The sequence below is a fragment of the Homo sapiens genome, chromosome 6 (assembly GCF_000001405.40).
Source record: "Homo sapiens chromosome 6, GRCh38.p14 Primary Assembly".
Classification (NCBI taxonomy): Eukaryota; Metazoa; Chordata; class Mammalia; order Primates; family Hominidae; genus Homo; species Homo sapiens.
The window spans coordinates 41,335,265-41,359,777 of NC_000006.12; the positions used below are offsets into that span (position 1 = coordinate 41,335,265).

The window sequence follows — 24,513 nt, forward strand, 5'->3', positions numbered from 1 at the left end:
CCTCTCCCCTCTCCTTTCCCGCACCCACGAAACTCCCAGAGTGGAAGCACATCACTGACCCACCATGGAGGCCTGGGCATGACGTCCCTGGCCATCCTGTGACCAGTGAGGCTTGGGGCTTGTGATCAGGGTTCCAAGTGCCCCTGAGTTTGTCATCCACCCTCAGCCTGCCTTTCCCTGGAAAGGGCGGCAAAGCTAGGGCCCTGCAAAGAAGAGAGGCAGCACACAGAGGGAGCAAGGGGGAAGCAGTCCATAACTCGCCCACAGTTTCCTCCTGGCCTTTTCAGCTCCTCCCTCAGGGGTAGGTCATGGTGGGGAGGGGCAGCTGGGCACAGGGGAGAGCAGGCATCTTCTACAGAGGCCTGGGAAGCTGTGTGCCAGACAGCGCCGAGCCCACCAGACCCAGACTCACCTACAGCTGGAGATCCCCACTTCCCTGTGCCCACAGAATCTGCCCTTTGCAGTCTCCCATCTCCCCAACCCAGGCCTCAGCCTGTCTCATTTTTCTATCAGACGTGCTGGAAGAGCAGCAGAATCAGGCCCAGCTCCCAATTCCCTCTCCCCAGTCTTCTCCAGGTGTCCCCTCCCATGAGCGCACAGGAAAAGGACCACATGGCCTGGCGAGCCCTACACCCACTGCTACTGCTGCTGCTGCTGTTCCCAGGTGAGGGGGAGGAGGAGCCCAGGGAGCAGAGGAGATGGGTGTGGTGGGGACTGTCAGGACAGCAGGGTCAGGGAGCAGGTGGCTCTGTGGCCAGAGGCCTGCTGTGAGGCAGGTTGTGCGCGTGGCCTTGACCTATGCGTTACTTCATCATTCTCCAGGCTCTCAGGCACAATCCAAGGCTCAGGTACTTCAAAGTGTGGCAGGGCAGACGCTAACCGTGAGATGCCAGTACCCGCCCACGGGCAGTCTCTACGAGAAGAAAGGCTGGTGTAAGGAGGCTTCAGCACTTGTGTGCATCAGGTTAGTCACCAGCTCCAAGCCCAGGACGATGGCTTGGACCTCTCGATTCACAATCTGGGACGACCCTGATGCTGGCTTCTTCACTGTCACCATGACTGATCTGAGAGAGGAAGACTCAGGACATTACTGGTGTAGAATCTACCGCCCTTCTGACAACTCTGTCTCTAAGTCCGTCAGATTCTATCTGGTGGTATCTCCAGGTGAGCTCTTTCCCTAGGGTCCTCAGAGGGGTGCCCCTCACCCCCTTTTGGTGCCTCCATCACCCCTGGTTTCCCAATCGTGGAAGCCACCCATGCCCACGCCCCAGTCTCCTGGGAAGGCTGTTGGGAACAGGTGCAGGGGGAACTCATATGTGCACAAGAGCAGCCATCTCACAGTCTGCATGACTCCCAAGCCTGCAGCCTGGGCCTCCTGAGAGATGCTGAAACAGACCCGGTGAGCATGCTGACCAGTCAGCCTATATGACCCTGCTACAGGAGGGCAGGACCACCCGGCATCTTTGGTACATAGTAGGTGCCCAGGAAAGGTGCATCCACTGGCTGCCCCCACCATGTAGAGCCAGTGGTATCTGGGTAGTCTAGATACCAAGATACTATGGGTATCCCTCATAGTCCAGATCGGGGACTAAGAATGAGTGAAAAAAACTAAGAATGAGTGAAAAAAAATCAAAAGAAAAACAATATTTTGTGACATACAGGAAATTCAAATTTCAGTGCCTATAAGTGGAGTTATTTTTTGGAACACAGCCATGCCCACTCAATTACCTATTGTCTGTGGCCCTTTTCATGCTGTGACAGCAAAATTGAGCAGCTGTGACAGAGACCACATGGCTCATCCCTGACCCTTTACAGAAAGTGTGCCAAACTCCTGCTCAGAGCAGAGCTACCCACAGTTCCTGTGGAAGAGGACCTTCTAAAAAAAAATCTGCAATTCACATGAGTAATTTTTTTTGTAAAATACAGTAAAAAAAAATTACTAGAAAAATAAGAAAAAGATATATAAAGTACAAGCCCAACATTTATTAAATTTGACAAACATAAAATTACATTTTAATGAATACAATCAGAACAAATATCACATAGGGAAAAATTTATAAAAACTGTATACATTGTTCATTTGAAAGTGTGCCTAAAGGTGATTGATGTAGTGGCTTAACGGTATACCCATAACGTTTTGTCATTCCTCAGTTAAAACTAAGTACAAAGCTAGAAGGGAAATTGCAGTTCTCCATATTAAATGCCAATATGCACCCTTCAAACAAACACCCTGTCTTTCCGTTTTTAAGGATTATAATGTGACAAATGAGCACTTTTCTTACTTGGTAACTTTCCTAATCTGAGAACTATTTATGACACCACATCACTTAGGAGATAATGTATAAAGAAATTGTGTTGATTTTTTTTAAAATAATACTCACAGTAGAAGCCCAGAAAACTGGTCTCACGGAGGTATAATGTCAGAAATAGAAGAAATTTTAAAGCAATTCCGACAAGCTCAACAGTTTTATATTTAACTTTTACAAAAGGAAGCAAGCGATGCTGTAATTTCAAAATGCATCTTCAATCCTTTATCAGTAGCCAGTTCCAAAACTTTATCCTAAAACTTATAGTTTAAATTATCTTTCGATGGGAAAATATGGATTCTAGATCTATGAATTTCCTCTGCATATATCTTCTTCTGACAAAAAAACGAAATTCAAAACATGCTATCAAATTATTAATGTTTTCCCATGAGCACTTGTGAAGATATGCAATATCAATATTATCACTTATTTTGTTGATAAATGTTATTAAATTAAGAACATGTCATAACAATTCATAGAAATGGTTCTTCTGACTTTTATGTTTGCACTTAGACTTTACTTGCCATTGAAAAACATGTCGCTTTACTTCCTTGCATGGAAATATTAACTTCAGAACTACAGTATAAACAAGTCTGATGGTACAATTCACATTTGTACTAAACTGGCTTCTTGTCTTAATTAGGAATTCTTCCTATAGATGAAACATGCTCAACAAAACTTTAAATTTGGCATGCAACAGTAGCTGTTTATGATCTGTTTCCATATTACCACATAATAAAGAGAATGATTTCAAATTTAATATATTCACCTTATAAAATTCACAATTCTGTCCATGTTGGTCAGCACAACGTTCAGTTAAGCTGCTTTTTTTTCATAGTAAAACTCTCTCAATGAAGGAAGCAGTGCATTAATTTAAAATCTAGCCCAAGACTTCTTAACCTGGATGACATTTTCCTGTCATTGCAACTGCAGCCATCAGAACATACTCTTACATAAAACTTAACCCCAAACCACATTTTGATAATATAACCTTCATAGTTTTATACATTCAGAGCTAGTTGTGTTTGTGACAATTAAGCTAAAAGATACAGAATTCCTTCATATCATTGTGTTCAAATTGCATATACTAAAAGAATAGCTATGTTAGCAATATTTGTACATTTTTTCAAATTGCCATGAAAAATACTTTGCTAGCTTTATTTGTTCTAGGAGATGGTCATCCATCTTGTTATCCAATTCCTGAATATGTTGACCTAAGGCGTCAAGGGAAAATGATATCAAGCTCCCTTCTTTGCTATAAATTACCCAATGTCGTAAAGCAAACGTTGTTCAGTAATGTTTTGGCAATTGTAGATGGATTGTTGGTCTTTGCAGTACAAAATGTTACTTTACAAGAAGCCACAAAGTCTAGAGCTTATATGTGAAGTATGGATTCCTTTCAAGAGCTTTTCAATCCAATACTCTTTTTTCTCCTAAAAACAGTTTGTTGTGAACTTGTGTTTTTCCGTTTTATATGTATATGCCACTTGTTTTTTTGTTTTGTTTTATTTCGTTTTGAGGCGGAGTCTCGCTCTGTCTGGAGTGCAGTGGTGCAATCTCGGCTCACTGCAACCTCCACCTCCAGGGTTCAAGCGATTCTCCTGCCTCAGCCTCCGGTGTAGCTGGGACTACAGGCGCCTGCCACCACACCCGGCTAATTTTTGTATTTTTAGTAGAGATGGGGTTTCACCATATTGGTCAGCCTGGTCTTGAACTCGTGACCTCAGGTGATCCGCCTGACTCGGCCTCCCAAAGTGCTGGGATTACAGGCTTGAGCCACCATGCCCAGACTATGCCACTTGTTTTTGTTGTTGTTGTTATTGTTGTTGTTTTGAGACAGAGTCTCACTCAGTCACCCAGGCTGCAGTGCAGTGGTGTGATCTCGGCTCACTGCAAGCTCCGCCTCCTGGGTTCACACCTTCTCCTGCCTCAGCCTCCCAAGTAGCTGGGACTACAGGTGCCCGCCACCATGCCCGGCTAATTTTTTTATATTTTTACTAGAGATGGGGTTTCACCATGTTAGCCAGGATGGTCTCGATCTCCTGACCTCATGATCCGCCCTCCTCGGCCTCCCAAAGTGCTGGGATTACAGGCGTGAGCCACTGCACCTGACCCAACTCAAGGTCTTCAACCTTAATCACATCTGCAAATTTCCCTTTGCCATGGAAGGCAATGTCCTCACAGGTACCTGGGATTAGGGAGTAGACATTTTGGGGTACCCGTATTCTGCCTACCACAATGAGAGATTCTACTTTCAAACAAAACCAGCACAAACTCTTTGGAATAACTGCAGAAGGAAAAAATTTATTTAGAATCAGTTCTACCATCTTCATCTGGCTTACTGTCACTGCCACATTCAGGAAAGATGTTTTTTTTCAGTGATTTTTGTTTTGCTATCTGTTCATTAGAATGCTAATTAGGTAATCACTATTCTACTCTAACTTAGCTAATCATGTTACACTCTAAATTTTGTTTAAAAAAAGTTTGATTAAAAATTAAAATGATTGTAAAAATAATAAATCATAAAATTATACATCTTTCGAGATGTTTATACACTTTTGGGCTATAGCTAACAACTTTATTTATTTATTTATTTATTTATTTATTGTGAGACAGAGTCTCACTCTGTCACCCAGGCTGGAGTGCGGTGGCGCGATCTCGGCTCACTGCAACCTCCACCTCCCAGGTTCAACCCATTCCCATGCCTCAGCCTCCCAAGTAGCTGGGATTACAGGCGCCTGCTACCACGCCTGGCTAATTTTTTGTATTTTAGTAGAGACGTGGTCTCACCATGTTGGCCAGGCTGGTCTCAAACTCCTGACCTCAAGTGATCCACCTGCCTCGGCCTCCAAAACTGCCGGGATTACAGGCGTGAGCCACCACGCCTGGCCGCTAACAAGTAATTTTAAAGTATCACACACTGTAACATGGCTCTGGCATAGGTTACTAGCACACAGCTCACTCCATATTCGACCCTCCATGCTAATTTGACAACACCCAAGCTGGTCTATATCCTGTTCAATGAGATGAGACGAGTTAACTAATCACGGGCTTGGATCTTGAGGCAGTATCAAATTGATATAAACGTTTTGAAACCCCTACTCCCAATTTTTATACTTCCCTTGTTGTGGAAGGGTTACAGACAATTTGTAGACCAGCACCAGGCCATAGATGACACATTCAATAGCACATGTCTAGGATTTTACCAGAGTGTCCCAAACACCTCTCCCAGGCTGAGCACAGGGTTATCCTGGCCAGCATCCTAGACAGCCTCAGAGAGTGTTCTATGGGACAGGATCGTGCCCACAGGTCCATAGGCCTGTGACTCTCTCCAGGGAGGACCTTCCAGGGCAGTCTCTGGGACGAGGAATGACTCAGCCTCAGGCACCCTCTCCTCCAGGCCCCTCCCAGCCCTTTCCCCTTCTTTCCCCTTCTCCCCACCTCCTGGACTCCAGTTAGGTATGTAGACCTAGTCTGCTAGGTCGAGACACTGATAATCCCCACTTCCTCTCCCAGCCTTGGTTCCAACCCTACTTTCTTTTCCTTCGCCACCCCACCACCCGCCAACAGCCAATGCCTTTTCGACCTCAACAGTCCCCATCACTTTTCCAGAGACAGCCATTCCCCACCTCCACCAAGGGCTCTAAGCACAGGTGGGTCTGGATCTTCCTGGGAAGGTGAACAGCAGGAGTGGTGCGCAGCCGGTTCACAGAGTCCCAGAGTCAAGAGGGGCTGTGAAAGGCATTCCCTAGGCTGCTGAGACTTGGGGTCCAGGGCTGTGCAGCAGAACTGGGAGGGGCAGGGATCTGAAAACTACCCTTCAAATTCCCCACAAGAGGCTCCCTTCCCAAGTCCCAGAGGCATGAGAAAGAGAATGGAGGGCAGAGAGCCGAAGGGGCCCGAAGCATCATGGCCATGTCCACCCTTAGGAGGCTCGGATGGGTGCCCATCCAAAGACTCGAGTGCCTCCTGAGTCCTCTTCCAGTGCTCCTCCTAGACTCAAGGATACAACTGCAGGGGCCCAGTAGAGCCCAGGCCACAGGTGTGTCTAATTCTGAGCCAGAGGACTTCACAGTTCAGTCCCCACCCCTCAAATTAGTTTTCTTCTCTGGGCGCATGGGCTCTGTTCCCAGTCTGGTCCAACTCCCCCATCCAGCTCTCCTGCCGGCAGGCACAAGTGAGGTCTCCCACTCACTAACCACGCTCTTTCTCCTCCCTGGCAGCCTCTGCCTCCACACAGACCTCCTGGACTCCCCGCGACCTGGTCTCTTCACAGACCCAGACCCAGAGCTGTGTGCCTCCCACTGCAGGAGCCAGACAAGCCCCTGAGTCTCCATCTACCATCCCTGTCCCTTCACAGTGAGTTTCGGGGTGCCCGTAGCCACACAGGCCTGGGCGGGGGCTGGCAGATGGAGACTTGCCTCCCCAGCCCGTCCTCTCCCCTTCCTGTCCCTCTGCCTTCCAGGCCACAGAACTCCACGCTCCGCCCTGGCCCTGCAGCCCCCATTGCCCTGGTGCCTGTGTTCTGTGGACTCCTCGTAGCCAAGAGCCTGGTGCTGTCAGCCCTGCTCGTCTGGTGGTGAGTGTGGTGTGGGTTGAACTCGGGGAAAATGGAACAGGGAACAGCTTCTGCCCAGGATAGAGGGTCAGAGGGGAATCGGCCAGAGAACAGAGGTGGAAATTATAATCGGCAGAGCTCTCCAAATTAAAGCCCTCATGGAGTCCATCCATCTGACATGTCACACAGGCTCACCTTTGTCCTTCAGCTGCAAACTTGCAGGAATCTCATCCATGTTTCTCTGTCTCTGTGTTTTCTCCTCTCTCTCTCCCTCTCTCTCTCTTTCTTCCCCCTGCTCCCTTTTCCTCCCTTTCTCTCTCCATTCCTCCCCCTCCCTCTTTCCCATTCCACCCCCTTCCTCTCTCCCTGTCTCTCTACCCCTCCCTCCTCTCCTCTTCTTCCCTCTACCTTTCTCCTTCTCTCCTTCCCTCTCCCCTGTCCTTCCACTCCCCCATCCCTCCATCAGAAACACAGACCTACACAGCTGGAAAGTCCCTCCCACTACCTGCCCTTCCAGGCAAGCCCAAGTCCAGGGACTCCCTAAAGCCACCATCCCAGGACTCTGCCTCATTCTAGTCCTGAGGGAGAGAGGGTAGACACAGGAGGGAAACAGCCCCCAGGGAGAAGGGGACACATGGGAAAAAACCATAGGTGGGGCTGAGTGAAAGGTGCAGGGACAACTCAGTCAGGCCAGGAGCCGGCTTGCTGGAGGAGGGGCAGGCTTGGGGAAAGGGACAGGGTGTGAGAACGGATTCAAGTCACTTCATGTATTTCTCCCCTCATCTCAAGGGTTTTAAGGAATCGGCACATGCAGCATCAAGGGAGGTCTCTGCTGCACCCAGCTCAGCCCAGGCCCCAGGCCCATAGACACTTCCCACTGAGCCACAGGGCACCAGGTGGGCGGCCAGTCTCCAACAAGGCTGGGCTCCCAGCAGCTCCTCCCTGACTTCTGACCTCTGCTGTTATCCGCAAAGAAAAGGCCAGGACTTGATCCAAGGCCTTTAGCCACGCTCTCCCTGCAGAGCTGCAGAACCCAGGCCCTCTACTTGCTCACCCTCAGTTTGCACTGCGGCCAGCACCCCGTTGTGGGAGCAAAGCCCAGCGCCTGCAGCATCTTTCTACCAAACCTGAGTCACTGATGACATTCCCTCTTCCCTGCCTCCTCCTCCTATCTATAGCCCCTGATAAAAGAAAAACGTGAGGCCTGGAACGCTGGTGGCTGACACCTGTAATACCACCACTGTGGGAGGCCAAGGCTAAAGGATGGCTTGAAGCCAAGAGTTCCCAGTTGCAGTGAGCCATGATCACGCCACTGCACTCCAGCCTGAGCCACGGAGTGAGACCTTGTCTCTAAAACAGAAAAGAAGAAAAGAAACACTTTAGACAAAATAAATTTAACAGAGTTTATCTGAGCAAAGAACGATTTGCAAATTGGGCAGCCCTCAGAACCAGAAGAGGTTTAGAGAACTCTGCTCTGCAACCTGGGCAGTTGTAGAGAGAAAAAAAGACTGAAGAAAGCGGAAACAAGGAACAAAAAGAAATTGGTCATTTCAAAGTTACCTTCTTGGTAAAAGGTTAAAGCAGAGGGGATTTCCCTACCATACCGGCTAAAACTGACCTGTTCAGGGATTTGGCTGTTACCTCTCTCTCCTAATTTCTCGGAAGGTGAGATAAACAACTTGGTTTTGGCTTGGTGGTGTGGAACCTTAGCACCAGTGACCCCATTTTGGTTTGGGCTGTTGGGCCTAGTGCAGGAGCTCAGTCTAAATCAATGGCCTCTTATTACTCTGATTTAACACCCCAAATCCAGACGCCTGGGTCACCCCAACGTTTCCCTCTCCCTCTGCCCTTGCTCAGCCACACTCTGCCAAGGCCTCTCCTATTGTGCCTCCTCCCCCTTTCCAAGCCCCTTCACCTCACACTGGCACTCGGACCACTGTGTCAGCCACCTAACAGGGGGTCCTGTCTTCAGTCCCCGCCTCCTAGATTGTTCCCCTGATATGTCCCTTCCCAACAATACCTCTGTGCATTTCTGCCACCCAGGAATTGAAGTCCAGTGTCGTTACTGGGGTCCCAATAATGCTTTGCCTAGATCAGCCACCCCTGTAGCACAGCACCCCACTGTGCTGTCCTTACCACCACCAACATGGCTGCAGCCTCCACAAGGAAGTGAACCTTTCTTTTTTCCTGCACAAGCTGGTCAAGAGGCGCCTCAACTCGCCACATTCAAGATCACTCCGTGCCTTGCCCCAGGCCTGTCACCCCCACAGTGCTGTTGTCTCTTTCTGACGCTTACAATCCCGATGTTGGACCTACCAGACTGAGACTGACGTGATTATCTTTTCTCTCCTGTTTGTCATCTATTTTTCTTTATTCCTACTTTCTGAGAAAGTTCCCCAAGGTTACATTCTATTCAAATGTTTTCAATGTACACGATCACATTTTTCATTTCTAAACGGTCCATTTGTTCTCCGAATGTTCCTTTTTATAGCACAGCATGTTTTATTTTGGCAAGCCACATTTTCTCTGGAAATATTAAAGTTTTAACTTTTGAACTTTTCCGAAGCTTTCCATATTTTCTATGTCCTCCAAGTGCCCATCATATCTTTTATTTTCTCCTTTCATTGACCTCTGTCTTTCTTCAGAGCTTTCTGGAAACCTTTGCCGCTTCTCGGCCACCCACTTGCTTAGAAGCCCCATGCGGGCCGCGGGGTGCTGTGGGCTCCAGGCGGATTGGGCGGGAGTATGGCTCCATTTTTTCTCTTTCACAGCTCTGTTTCTCTAGAAAGGACTCTTAGCTGTCCTTCCTGGGAGTGTAAGTCTAGACCCAGGGTTCTAGGCACCAACTGGAACAGAGCAAAGGGGTCTCGCTGCCCAATGTCTGTTCCCACCCAGGCCCCCACTGCACACTCTCTCTCTGTGGCGCCCTGTGCCCTGAGCAGAGCATCTCTGTGTCACCCTCATCAGAGACTTACCTCAAGCTCTCTGCAGCTGTTGAGAGAGAGGAAAGACAGAGGATGTGGGCAGCTAACCTACTCTCAGTCTCACGGAAGCCAGAGAATCTAGGAGTCTAAGTGATTCTTAAAGTTCCAACCTGTTCTCTGGTTTCCAGCACCCACTTCAACCCTGCCTTAAGAGATACCTGCACCTCCCATTTCTCCAACTTTCTGGGGTTCCAAGGTAAAAATGACTTCCCTCTTATTCCCCCACTCCCACCAGCTCTCTCTGATCTGTGAAGTCATCTGATTTTACCCACCTTCAAAACATGTATGGAGCTCTCTGTTTATCTTTGAGGATGGGTTTATGCCATTTTTATCCAGTTATTGCTGCTTTCACCTTCTTGGCAAGAGTGAGGAGGGACCCCAGATTTTCCATCAAAACACCCCTCCCCAGCACCCGCCACCAAGGGCAGGAGCAAGTGAGATCCCAGGTCTCCACTTGCTCCTGTAAAGACTCCTGGCCCCCTCCCCTTCCCCCAAGGTCAGCACTCAGACTCCAGTACAGCCTCTTGGTGCCTTATTATATCCCTGTTCACTCTAGTTGCCATAAGATGCCCAGGATGCCCTGGTCCTCCCTCATCACCCAGAATCCCAACTCAGTAAGACCTTGTAAATCCATGACATTAGCCCCAATTCCCACTCGTCCCAAATCCCATAACCTTTCCACCCTGCACCTGAAGTGCGCAGTCATCAGCACAAGCTCCTGTATGCTCAGCTTCTCTGAACGTCACCGCGGTACTCTCCCTGACATCTGCCTGTTCTCCGAGGACAATGCTTTCTCCGCAGTTCTCTTGCGGGGGGAGGGAGGCGGTTTGTTCTCCTTTGCCTCATGCTCCTGAGCCCAAGGGTGGGGTCAGTGTCCTCTGTGCCCCTCACAGCCCCTTCCTATCTTCTGATCCTCCCTAAAGCACTCCACAAGTAGCTTTCTGCCATTAGGCTGTATCACTGTGGGTGACCACCCATCATCACTGCAGATTCTGTACAATCTGGGGCACGGCTCTTTATTCCTCATGGGTCTCAACCCCAGGCTCAGCGTCACTCTGACTGCTCCCGCCATAATTCTTTGTGATCTTGGGCCCACGTAGACAAGATCTACATGAATGATTCTTCCAAATCTCTGGCATCACAGTTCCTTGGCCTCCTATCCCCAGTGGTCTCGTCCTCTTCCCTATTTCAGCCACCATTGCAGATGGTCAGTAAGCGCCAATAGCCCCCCTCTTAATCTCATTCCCACCACCCCCTACCTCAGTCCTGCTAACCTGATCCCAGTATTGCTTCAACACCACAGGGACCCATGATCCATTGATCCTGCCACCCGCCCCTTTCCGCCATCTCACCCATGCTTTCCTTTCCCTTAGATTCCATGATCCAACCTCAAATCAGTCTTTGGCACACAGCCTCCCCTTCTGTGCTCCTCTCCCCTTTTATTGAACTCCTCTGGGAAAACTGTAACCCTGGTTGAACCTAGCTTCCTGCTTACTCTGTGCCTGTGTCCAGCCAAGATGAATGTGGCTGTGGCTGACAAAATACAATCTATCATCCCGAAATGTCTCACTGTCAGCACGTGACCTTGAGAGTGGAGTGGCTCTGCTCCATTCTAGACCCACATCATTCTCTGTCCTCCCTCTCCACATGCTCAGCTGGTGTGCCCACATCCTAACTCACTGAAAAGAGAGAGAAAGAGGGGGAAAGAGAGAAAGAGAGGGAGGGAGGGAGGGAGGGAGGGACAGAATGAGAGGAAGAGAAAAAGAGGAGGGAAGAAGGAAAGAAGGAAAAGGGAGGGAGGGAAGGAAGGAGAAAAAAGAAAGTCCACTTGATCCCACCACACCTACCAATCATCTGCCTCTCTTCTTCCTCTCACTCTCCCTACTCTTATCTCAAGCCAATCACTTTCCTTCAGCTCCAAATACCATCTTCTCTTGTCTACACAAGAATATTCCAGCCGAGCATGGAGGTGCGTACTTGTGGTCCCAGCTACTTGGGAGGCTGAGGCAGGAGGATTGCTTGAGCCTGAGAGGTGGAGGCTGCAGTGAACTATGATCGTGCCACTGCACTCCAGCCTAGGTGACAGAGCAAGACCCTGTCTAAAATAGAAAAAGGAATATTCATCCAGGAGCCACCCCTCTCTCCTGCATCATCTTCCCGGGTTGTATGTCATGACCATCAGAATCTAAATGGGCTCTAATATATTAAACCCTCCCCACCTACAGCCCTCCAGCTACTGCTCCATTATCTTATTGTCCTCTGCAGCAAGGGCCCATGAAAGGACTGGCTGCACCATCAGCCTCCAAAATTCTCTTTTCTTCTCTCTTGAAGCCACTCCAGTCAGGCCTTTGACTATGCCACTCCTTGAAACACCTCCAGTGAGTTGTGCACTGTGAAATCCAGCAGCCAATGCTGAAATCTCCTCACCCTGGGAAGAGGAGCACCCTAGGCATGGCCTCCCACTTCTGCCTTCTTGAGATGCTTTCTTCCAGGGCTTCCAGGAAAAAAGAACTCTTGTGACTTTCTCCTGACTCATTTGATGTTGCATAATAAATTAGCCCCAAAACGTAGTAGCTTAAAACAACAAATGATACATATTCATTAGGTCACAGGTTTTTTGGGGGGATGGGGGTGTGATCAGAAATTTGGGAACAACTTAGTTGGGTGTTCCTGGCTCAGAACCTCTCTGGTGTCGCAGTCAGGATGTCAGCAAGAAGTGCGGTGGTAGGGAGGCTTGATGGAGGGCCGTGCCCAAGACGGTGCATCCTCATGTGGTTGCTCGCACAGGCCTCAGTGCTTTGCCATGTGAGCCTTTCTTCACGGCAAGGGAACTAACTTCCCAAGTGTGACTGATCCAAGAGAGGGTGCGGAAGGAGGAAGTCATAGTGCCATTAATAACCTAGTCTCTGAAATCACAAACCGTTGCTTCTGCCATATTCTACTCATCGGAAGCCAGTCATTGGGTCCAGCCCAATGGGATTCGCCTCCAACCCTTGAAGGAAGGTATATTAAAGAATTCGTGCCTGTATTTTAAAACCACCACAGTACTTGCTCTGGCCACAAATTATTTACATTCCTCCCACATGCAAAAATACACTCAGTCCCACCAAAGGTCTCCCAAAGTCTCATCCCATTATGGCGTCAGGATGAGGTCCAGGAACTCATCATTTAAACCAGGTCCAGGTGTGGAGGAAATTCCTCAGGTGTAATTCCTCAAATACAATTCTCAGTATGAAGACCTGTGAGCTAGAGACAAGTTATCTGCCACACACACAACCCCAATGTCCAATGCAGTACAGTCATAGGAAAACCACTACAGATATTTTTGTTCAAAAGAGGTGGAAGGGGGAGACAAAAAAAAAAGTCACTGGTCCTTAGAAAATCAGAACTTTAGCTGGGAAAATGTTGGAAATTCCTTGATTCAGACACTGCTCAACTCCTACCTAGAAATAATTCTCAGTGGTCGTGGCTCCTTCCTCTGTGCTCGAGTATGTCTTCTGAGCCACCCTTCTCTTTCCATGAAAGGCAGCCCATATTTACAGCTTCGTAACTTCCTCAGGCTGCTTCCTGCCAGTTTAATTTGGGGGATACAAAGTGAGATCCCAGATTTTATGCTATTTCTGTTCCTTTCAGTCCAATCTGGCAGTGTTTTGTGACTGTCATTCTCTTAAAAAAAATGTGGATCTCCTGTAAAACTTATTGTGACTCACTCCATTAGACAAAGACCATACCCACAAATTTCTCCAAGAGAAGATCTCTTCCACACCATGTGCTTCTGACAAGAAAGTGAGGATAATGTCTTTATACTTCTTAGAAGATCTAATGTTCGACTGAAAAATCTATGAAGCACGCACCCTTAAATTCATGAAAGGGCCTTTTGCCTGAGACACTATGTGAAATAATAATTATTATACATTATTGAAATCATTATAATTTTATATAAATTATTATAGTTTATTATATTTTTAATATATTTTATAAATTTTTTATATTTTTATTTTTTATATTTTATTTATATATTTTATATTAATTTTTATTAATAATTTTAAATAAATTATAATTTTATATATTATGCATATATTATCATGTATATAATTTTCATATATATATATATTTCTTTGACCCTAGTTCCTGACACAGAGCTCCTGAGACCCTTATAAATGGGAGTGCTAAGATAATCTTTTGTTCTCATATTTGGTCTTTGACCTCTGCTCCTGACACAGAGCTCCTAAGACCTTTCTAATCTCCTGAGTGATAGGAGTGTCTAACACAGAGGTCCTACCTCCCTTGGAATTTCCTGGCATCTTTTCCTCTAAAGAGGTGACTCTTAGTGTGCTCTTGGATGGGGGCTGGTCACCAGAAGGATCAATCCATGATTGAAAGCTTGGAACTTTCACCCCACCTCCCATACCCCAGGGAGGGGAGGGGGCTGAAGACTGCATTAATCATCAATCAAGCTGACATGATGAAGTCTCTGTAAAAATCACAAAAGTAAGGTTCAGGAGCTTCTGAGTTGGTGAACACATTCATGTGCTGGGAGGTATGGTGCACCCCAGCTCCACAGAGACCAGAAGCTCCTGCCCTCCAGCCCTTCCATACCTGAAAACAATTTGGTTTTTCCTACTAAACACACAACTTTCTGAGGTCTTAACAAAGGATTTTACAGCATAGCCTTGGTTTCATCTTTAGACCACATATTCCTGAACGTGCCCTGGATTTGATTTTAGCATCATTTACTGTCTGGAGGCTGAGAATTTTTTAAGTCATCAAGTCCCAGCTCCCTCATGTTGAATAATCCTGCCTAGAGTTTACCTCTCACCTCTCTCATTTCACAATGAGCCACAAGAAGAAACCAGGTAGCACTTTCAAGAGTTTGCCTGGAAATCCTAGCTGTACAACCCAGCTCATGAGGGACATTTTCTACTTTCCACATTACTGCAGATGACAGTGTTGCTAAACTTTCTGCCATTGTGTAACAAAGAACCCCCTTCCTTTTTACCAACTAAATGATGCTGGAAAAGTTTCTTAAGGTCTCTACCCCGAGTCTTCTTATTGGTAAAAACAGAACTGATAACACACATATTACCAAGCTATTTGGATTTCTAAGTAGGGTGATGTATTCAAAAAGCACCAGACAAAAGGAGAACACCCAACAAAGGCTGAGTTTTAGAGGGAGTGAGGTGTAGAAGAAAGCAGACTCAACTGTGACACAGCAGAGACCATCTGCCTTTCCAGAGCTTACTGCAGCTGAAAAGACAGATAATAGTGTGTGGGCAGAGGGTGAACCTGGAGACTTGAAGGAAACAGGCCCCTCTTCTTGGTGGACAGTAGAGGAAAATAAAGGAAAAAATCAGGGTGAGGAAACTGACCAAACTGGGCTCAAAATCCATGCATGCTCACTGACACTTTTCTGGCAGCAGTGGCCAGGAGCAGACTTCATCCTTGTGAGGTGGGTATGGCAACCAACCCTGCGAGTAGTGGGATGGGGAAGGGGTTGCCTCTGCACCTATGTGCAATTATGTGGCAGTCTCTGACCACCTTCCTGGTTTCCTGCTCTGATTGCAGGGGGGACATATGGTGGAAAACCATGATGGAGCTCAGGAGCCTGGATACCCAAAAAGCCACCTGCCACCTTCAACAGGTCACGGACCTTCCCTGGACCTCAGTTTCCTCACCTGTAGAGAGAGAAATATTATATCACACTGTTGCAAGGACTAAGATAAGCGATGATGATGATGAACACACTTTGTGAATAATAAAATTATCTGAATGTTTTATTCCTGTTGTTTCCTAAGTTTCCTTCAAACTCTGTCTGCATCCGCACATTTGATCTCTAGGGGACCAGCTTCTCTAGTTTGCCCTCTTTCCTCCATCATAACCCTTTCTTATCTTCAGTTCACCTGATGTCCCCTGTACGTCTGGGAGCTGCCTTAGATGCTGTTATAATCAGGGAAGGGCACTGTACACAAGCCCAGTGAGTAGAAAGGCTGTGGGCGAGCAAGGCTTGGAAACAAGACCTGGGTTTGTTTTCTCAGCTCAGCCCTGTATGAACTCGGACAGATAGGTCACTGCCCCTCTCTGAACGTCCGTTTCTTTCTCTAGAAAATGAAGGGGGTGGAGATGAGTTCTGAAACCCCTTCCCCATGAGGATAAGTCAATAAGCATGAACTCAACACCTGCCTGTGCCCAGCTCAGGGACCAAGCACCACAGGACACAAACAAAAGGAGCCAGCCTGGGAACACAGTTGTGAGTCCATAGGTGGCGGGGCCCCTGTGCAAGATTCCAGCACAGGCTGAGGGAAGGGGACAGTGGAGGGGGAGCAAAGCTGAAAATATGTGGCTGGAGAGGGATAGAAAAGCAGGACACTAGTGGGTACCAGACAGTGGGGGAAGGAGCCCAACAAGGATGAGGAACTTTGCTGTGAAGTCATGTTAGTCAGGATGCCATGACCTTCCATGAGCCCGAAAGAGGGCACACAGTCCCAGGAAGGAGGCGAAACCCTGCCCCATCTCTACTCACCCCTAAGGTTCTGGGAGCTTCCTGGTATCCAGGGAAAATTTAGGCTCCCAGGGTCTGCGGTCTTTTTCTTGGAAACCCCAGTCTCCGGCTTCCTGTTTCCAGTTTCGCCTTCCTTCCTGGGCTCCTCTGGGTACCAGGCTCCATACCCTGCCAAAGGCTAGAAAGTCTGCGGACAGCCGGCCGGGCGTGGTGGCTCATGCCTGTAATCCCAGCACTTTGGGAGGCCGAGGCAGGCAGATCACCTGAGGTTGGGCGTTCGAGACCAGCCTGACCAACATGGAGAAACCCTGTCTCTACTAAAAATGCAAAATTAGCCGGGCGTGGTGGCACATGCCTGTAATCCCAGCTACTAGGGAGGCTGAGGCAGCAGAATTGCTTGAACCTGGGAGGTGGAGGTTGCAGTGAGCCGAGATCGCGCCATTGCACTCCAGCCTGGGAAACAAGAGAGAAACTCTGTCTCAAAAAAAGAAAAAAGAAAGTCTGGCGACAGCCAAGGTTTCAGACAGACCAGAGTTTCTGCTTATGGTTGAAGTGCTGAACTTGTTGGGTCTAAATGTGAATATGCACTGAGTAGTAGAGTCTATTAAGAAACTATTTTTAATTGCATTGGCTGTGATCATATTAATTTGCTAAGCAGCAAGAGCTCTTGTTTTAGAAATGTATGATAAATTATTTAAGGGTGGAATGTCAGGATATCTGCAATTTATTTAAAAATACTTCCACATAAAAAAAAATACCGTGAGTTAAAAATACAGAAGTGGAGTGGAGCACCTGGCCCCTGAGCTCTGATGATGACAGGGCCTGCTATAGGCCCATCCTGTTCCTCCATGGAAATTAGACAAATGACCCATCTTGCAGAGAGATCACAAAAAGGCACACACACCCCCACCCCCAGCCCCGGGCCTACTGATTACAAAAATGCACCCTAGCCAATACCTGGTAGAATTCCAACCCTGCTGGCCCAAACACCCAGGGACTTCCTGTGGTTATGGGATAACAGCCAACACAGCCACCATCGAAGCAGAGTCCACAGTCTCAGCGAGGTGCTCAAATCTTGGTGCAGCCCTGAACTTGACATTGGTCAGCAGATCTCCACAACAGCTGCACCTAGAGTTGCACACACCACACCAGCTTTCCTGGTGTTTTTCTCTTTTCTTTGTACATTATATGTAAACATCATTTTTCCAATTCTAAGAATCCCGACATTCAATAAAGGGAAATATGTTAGATTCTTGTATCTACTATTTTTTCCCCAACCAACCTTTCTCAAGCATTAGTAGGTAAGAGAGCAGGAGCAAGTGGTCCAGCCATGCTTCCAGGGCTGAGGCTTTCCTCTCTCCTCCTCCTGACTCCCCTCCTCCTGAACAAATCCTATTCCCTCCCAGCACCCTCTCTGAGGATTCCTCGGTCACCACCCCAAGAGCTCAAGGAGAAGCGGCTTGGTTGGGAGGACCCTCTCCTCTGCCTCTTGCTGCTAATGGCACCTGCACCTAGTTTGCAGGTGCCCTCAGCTTCAGATGGGGGACTGGGGAGGAGGACAAGAAAGAAGGCTGGAGAGGGAAGTGGGGCAGGAAGAAGTGACCTTGCAGCCAGAGGACCAGCAGGAGGCTGATCCCAGGGGTGGGTATACATGTGGCCGCTTCCCCTTCCCCAGCCCTCCAGGGCTCCCAGATCTGATGCTCCTGAGGAGAAAAATCTGAGCCTGAGGAACTGAGGGAAGGGAACAGGAAGGGCCTCTGTGGGGAAGGGAGAGCATCTCAGCCAATCACCGTGACCTGCCAGTTACCTGACCAGGCACAAAGCTTAACTATGTCCTTCCCATATTTGACCTGGGACAACACCCTTTCGTCTGGCTTTGCTGCCCTCCCCAAACTGGGCTGCAAGAAAGGAGCTCAGGCACAGTGGTGGGAAACAGTGTTCCCTGCAGCTGTCAGTATTTCCAAAGTTGTCACCAAGTGTCCCCAGGTGAGCTCCTCCCCTGAGGAAATGGCCTCCCCAAGCTTCTGGGAGAAATGCCATCACCTGCCCCCTAGAGAAGGACGGGCCCTCCATATAAACAGCTCCCCCATACAGAGCCAGGAAGGAGGACTGACTGATTTTTCTGCCTAAAACACAATCCTGTGTATGACGAAAGATACTACAAACAATGTTTTTTAAAATGTAAACGGAGGCCAGGCGCAGTGGCTCACGCCTGTAATCCCAGCACTTTGGGAGGCCAAGAGGGGCGGATCATGAGGTCAGGAGTTCAAGACCAGCCTGGCCAACATAGTGAAACCCTGTCTCTACTAAAAATACAAAAATTAGCTGGGCGTGGTGGTGCATGCCTGTAATCCCAGCTACTTGGGAGGCTGAGGCAAGAGACTTGCTTGAACCTGGGAGGCGGAGGTTGCAATGAGCTGAGATCATGCCACTGCTCTCCAGCCTGGTGATAGAGTGGGACTCCATCTCAAAAAAAAAGACAAAAAAGTAAAGCGAGATTTTAAAAATAATATATATGTTATACAAAGATTAATATCCAAACTATAAAAGGAACTTGTGAAATCAATAAGCAAAGGGCAACAACTCAATAGAAGAAACAGAAAAGGATAGAATTGCAATCCAAAGAAACGCCCCATGGAAAATTAATACATGGAAGGCAAGATCAATTTTATCAGTAAGTGGGAAAATGCAAATTAAAACAACAATGGAGGGATCATTTTTCACCTATTAAATTAATACAAATTTAAAAGATTGGTTATTCCCAGCAGTGACGATGTTGTGAGAAAATTGGCATCTCAAAGGATGTCGGTGGGAATATAAATTAGTCTATCCTTTTAGGAAATCAATTAGTCCAGATTTATCAAAATATTAGATGTATATCCACTTTCCACAGACAATTCCATTTTTAGTGTCTGCATGAGAGAATAAATCATGTGTGCACAAAGAGGCATATGTAAAAGGTTATTTGCTGCAACATTTTATATAATAGTGAAACTTAGAAACAAATCAAATGGCTACAAATAGGAAAGGAAGGAAATAAATGAGGCTACATCTCTAGCCTAGGGCACTAAACAGCAGGTTAGAAAGGAGGCAGATATGTGTGTTCTAAATGCACAGAGCAGATTGACTAAACAATTTAGCTCAAAAAAATCAAGCTGCTGAGTGACACACATCACAGTACCTCATTTATATCAGCAAAATTGAAGATAAAGCTATATCCCCAGTGATACGGTTTGGATCTGTGTCCTCACCAAATCTCATGTCTAATTGTAGTCCCCAGTGTTGGCGGTGGGGCTTGGTGGTACGTGAGTGGATCATGGGGGTGAATTTCTCGTGAACAGTTTAGCACCGTCCTCTTGGTACTGTCCTCGAGATAGTGAGTGAGTTCTCATGAGATCTGGTTGTTTAAAACCATTTGTTCTCACTCATAGGTGGGAATTGAACAATAAGAACACCTGGACACAGGGTGGGGAACATCACACACCGGGGCCTGTCATGGGGTCAGGGGACGGGGGAGGGATAGCATTAGGAGATATACCTAATGTAAATGATGAGTTAATGGGTGCAGCACACCAACATGACACATGTGTACATGTGTAACAAACCTGCACATTGTGCACATGTACCCTAGAACTTAAAGTATAATTAAAAAGAAAAGAATTCAGTCCCCCTTTGTCTTCTGCCCTGATTGGAAATTTCCTGAGGCCTCCCCAGAAGTAGAAGCTGCTATGCTTCCTGTACAGCCTGCAGAATCATGAGCCAATTAAACCTCTTTTTAAATTACCCAGTCTCTGGTATTTATAGCAACGCAAGAATGGACTAATATACCTAGACACAATGTATGTGTGCATGTATGCATGTGTGTGTATGCATGCATGTGTGTGAATGTGTGTGTGTAATAACAGGAAAGAATGTGTGCAAGAATTGCCTCAAGATGCTACCATGGGTAATGTCTGGGTAGGGGCAGGTGACTGGGATGGAACAGGGAGTGTGAAGGGGGGCTTTCGCATTTTACCCTGTATTCTACCATATTGTTTGAATGTTTTTACAATAAAATGTACTTGGGTGTTTTAAAAAGTAGACATGTTTTAATGACTGTTGAAGTGAGTGAAGAATATGGAAGTCAGAGGTCACAGCAGCCCTGCCCCTGGGACAGCCATTGAAGGGTGTGTGCGTGTCATCCTGATCAAGTCCCCTGGGGATAGGCTACTTTCAGTGTCCTCACTGGAGACTCAGCTTCTGTGTGGTGTGTGCTGTCTGGCTTCATTACACTTTACTCCCTTGTTCTGTCCTCTCAATAGTCTAGCAAACCTAACACTACCAATGAAGCCCTACTCCATGTCCTGCCCCTGGCTTCCCACTTACCATACCAGCCCAGCAAATACGTTTATGTCCCCCACAAAAGCCCATACACAAATGTTTACAGTGCCCTTACTCATAATCACCACCAACCAGAAACAACCCACAGGTCCTTCAACTGGTGAAAGGATCAACAGACTGTGGTACATCCATGCAACAGAACGTGACTCAGCAATGCAAAAGAACAAAGTACCCACACACACGACACACCTGATAAATCTCAAATGCATTAGGAAAGAAGCGAGACTCAGAAGGCTGCACACTGCATGATTACATATGTATGACATTCTGGAATAGGCAAAACTGTCAGCACAGAAACCACTGATCAGTGGTTTTCAGGGACTGGGGGGATCTGGGGTGGTGATAAGATGGTTCTGTGTCTGGATTGTGTTGATGGTTATGCAACTGTAACCATCTCTGTCCACTCCACCTGTGGGATCTGATCTGGACCCAGAGGTTGTTCAAGCCAGTGCCTTCCTTACTTCTGTTCTTCCCATCTTTATTCCTTCTTTCCTCTTCTGCTTCCTCTTTGCTCTTCAGCAGTGGAAAGCTCCTTCAAATGGAATCCTATACATGCCTTGTAGATGTGCCTGTTCAAGTGACACTGTTCTTGATGAAGAAGGGTAAGGGTCCTCTTTCAACAGAAGTTTGTCCCCATGCTTTCATTCAACAGATGAAGAAATTGAGGCCTGAGAGGAAAGGGGCTCCCTGTCCACATCCATGTTCTGTGCTCCTAATCATCCTCCATGCTGCTTTCAGAGACCATTCCAGGGTAGGCTAAGAGGGGCCATCACGGTGAACAGCTTATTCTGAGCACTCTAGAGTCGTCTAAATCTGCAGTCTGGTCATGGGGTAACAACATAGCAACAGACTTGGGAGATAACATGTCCTTTCCAACACCTGCCCCTGTATCCTTTTTTATACCTTCTTGTCCAGAACAGGTTCATGAGGCCATGTGTCCAGTAGAGGGGACTAGTTTTTCCAGATTAACTGTCAGCTTTGCCATGCTATAGCCACCGCCTTAATAAGGTTCACCTTTCAGCCTCTTGTGCAACTTTCTCAGAGCACGAATGTGTCTTCAGTGTTTGGGAATCGCACTTCTAGGAATTTATCTTACAGATACAAACACACATGTGCAATAACATCTGTAGATTGATATTTGTTACAGCATTGTTTGTAATTTCAAAAGACTGAAAACAACCTAAATGACCAAGCTATTGAACATCCATTCAATAGAATACTTTGCATTTTCACAGGATGAAGAAGCTCCCTATGTACTGATATGTGCCGATCAGCAAGACATCTTGTATTTTGTAAGGTACGGATTTCTGTCTATAATATGCTAACTTTTGTGCTTTAAGAAATATGAAAATTGATTAATATTGATATGCATTTTTTAAATTCTGGAGAAAACAATAAACTAATAACAATGGTTGCTGGGATAAGCAAAAGGTAGATGGGGAAAAGTGGGATAGACATTTTCACTTTCTGGATGTGTTTTTATTTTGAAAATAATAAAGTTATTCAAAATTAAATTAAAAAGAAATAATTGTAGGAGAGCTTCTACTTCTGGGAAGATGGAGTAGATGTCCTTTTTCCTATTCTTCTTACTATGTACTATATATATATATAATATATATATTATATATATAATATATATATTATATATATAATATATATATTATATATATATATTATATATATATAATATATATATATTATATATATATATTAAACATGAGACAACTCTGAAAGGTGGAGAGAAGAAAGAGGACCAACAAGGAACAACACTGCAGTGAGTTCCCTGGATTTTCTTTTTACCTTGTATATCCTAGACTGGATACTAGAAAAACTACAACCCGGAAACACCAACCGACACAGTAAAAAAAAAAAAAAAAGCCCTAAGAAATGCCCGCTTTCTCTAACCAAAGGACCAGGAAAGAAGCAGGCAGGGCAAGACAGAAAACTTTTAGATACAATTGCTCTACTCTAGCCAACACAACAGAAAAAAACTGCAGCCTCACCTCACCTACACCAGCAAAGGCTGAGTAGGGAGCCCAGACTTCTACCCCAGGCTGTAGTAAGGCACTCCCACTCCCACGCTGGAGTGGAGCCACAGAAGGCCAAGTGGGAGGCCAGGACTTTCAATCACCCAGGGTCAGCAGAGACCACACAGGAAGCCTGGACTCCACCCCTACCAGCAGTCAGAGGGTGCCCCTCACCATCCCCACTGGGGTGGTGTCAAAGGAGGACTGGCAGAGCATCAAAACTTTCATCACTGTTCAGTTTTTTGTTTTTTTTTTTTTGAGATGGAGTCTCGCTCTGTCGCCCAGGCTGGAGTGCAGTAGCACAATCTCTGCTCACTGAAAGCTCTGCCTCCCGGGTTCACGCCATTCTCCTGCCTCAGCCTCCCGAGTAGCTGGGACTACAGGTGCCCGCCACCATGCCCAGCTAATTTTTTGTATTTTTAATAGAGACGGGGTTTCACTGTGTTAGCCAGGATGGTCTCAATCTCCTGACCTCATGATCCACCCGCCTCAGCCTCCCAAAGTGCTGGGATTACAGGTGTGAGCCATGGCGCCCGGCCATCACTGTTCAGTTTTTAACAAGGCCACCCCACCCAGCAGTTGCAGTAGAAGCACCCCTTCCCCTTCCAGCCAGGGTGGAATCAGTGAAGGCCTGACCGCCACTTCCATTCAGCAGTTACAAGGAGCACCTTCTCGGCAATCCCCCCACCCCCCGCCCGCCCCCATAGGCATCAACAGAGACCAGGAGGACAACCTGGACCCCTGCCTGGCAGTAACAAGGTGTCATCCCACTTTTACCCACAAGATCTGTGCCAGAGAAGGCTTGCTACCACACATGATTTAAATAAGATCCACAGTTATAACACAATACTGAAATGTCCAGGTATCAAATAAGAAAATTACTCATCATACCAAAACCCAGAAAGATCTCAAAATGAATGAGGAAAGATACTCAACAGACACCAATGCTGGGATGCATACATATTATAATGCTTCAACAAATAATTAGAAACACATTAGAAACAAATTTTAAAAAATAGAAAGTCTCAGCCAAAAAAAAAAGAAGGTCTCAGAAAAGAAATAAAAGATACAAAAAAGAACAAAATGGAAACTCTAAAGTGTACAATAGTTGAGATGAATTCAATGGATGGGCTCATCAGCAGAATGGAGAAAACAGAGAAAAGAATCAGTAAACTTAAATATGGTGCAATAGAAGTTACCTAAACTGAACCATGGAGAGAAAATAAATGGAAAAAAAAAACATGAACAGAACCATGTGGGACTATAACAAAAAATCCAATATTTATGTCACTAGAGACACAGGAGAGGGGGAAGAGGTTGGGGCTGAAAAAGTATTCAGAGAAACATTGGGTGAAAGACACAAACCTTCAGATTCTAGAAGGTGTATAAATCCCAAACAGGATAAAACAAACAAACAAACAAAAATCCATCTTAAGCTATATCAAAAACACAACACTTTTCAAGTGCTAAAAGAAAAGAACTATCAACCCAAAATTTAGTTTTAGAAATTCCTCCAGGTATGAGGGGAAAATAAAGACATCTTCAGATGAAGAGAAAAACTAATTTGTTATCAGCAGACCCACTTTTTAAAAAAACTTATTGGGCACTGGAGCAAAGGTCACTTTTCTTATGCATCACCAAAGAGGTTGGAGGCACTATGCCCCTGCCATAGGGATCTGTGGAACATTGAACTTGAGAGTGACAATTTAGGGTATTGGGCAAGAGAAATTTCTAAGCAGCAAAGTGTTCAAGAAATGGC

General features: G+C 46.5%; 1 protein-coding gene across 4 annotated transcripts, besides 1 other annotated feature; it reads left to right on the plus strand.

Annotated features, from left to right (window-relative positions):
- The first annotated feature begins 343 nt into the window (after positions 1-343).
- Positions 344-15,625, plus strand: NCR2 (natural cytotoxicity triggering receptor 2). Of its 4 annotated transcripts, none has more exons than NM_001199509.2 (6): positions 344-664; positions 823-1,164; positions 6,530-6,665; positions 6,736-6,885; positions 7,654-7,760; positions 15,414-15,625. In NM_001199509.2, the coding sequence occupies exons 1-6, from the start codon at positions 613-615 to the stop codon at positions 15,437-15,439; spliced, it is 813 nt and encodes a 270-aa protein (NP_001186438.1). In that variant the 5' UTR covers positions 344-612; the 3' UTR covers positions 15,440-15,625. The 4 variants fall into 4 exon arrangements, with proteins under 4 accessions (NP_001186438.1, NP_001186439.1, NP_004819.2 ...); NM_001199510.2 differs by having other exon boundaries at positions 6,772-6,885; NM_004828.4 differs by lacking the exon at positions 7,654-7,760 and having other exon boundaries at positions 6,772-6,885.
- Positions 9,949-9,998: a silencer, noted in NCBI's record as "silent region_17177". NCBI's record gives its function as "represses an Ori minimal core promoter by ATAC-STARR-seq in GM12878 lymphoblastoid cells {active_cell/tissue: GM12878}" and the evidence as "EXISTENCE:reporter gene assay evidence [ECO:0000049][PMID:35858748]".
- Positions 15,626-24,513: the final 8,888 nt, after the last annotated feature.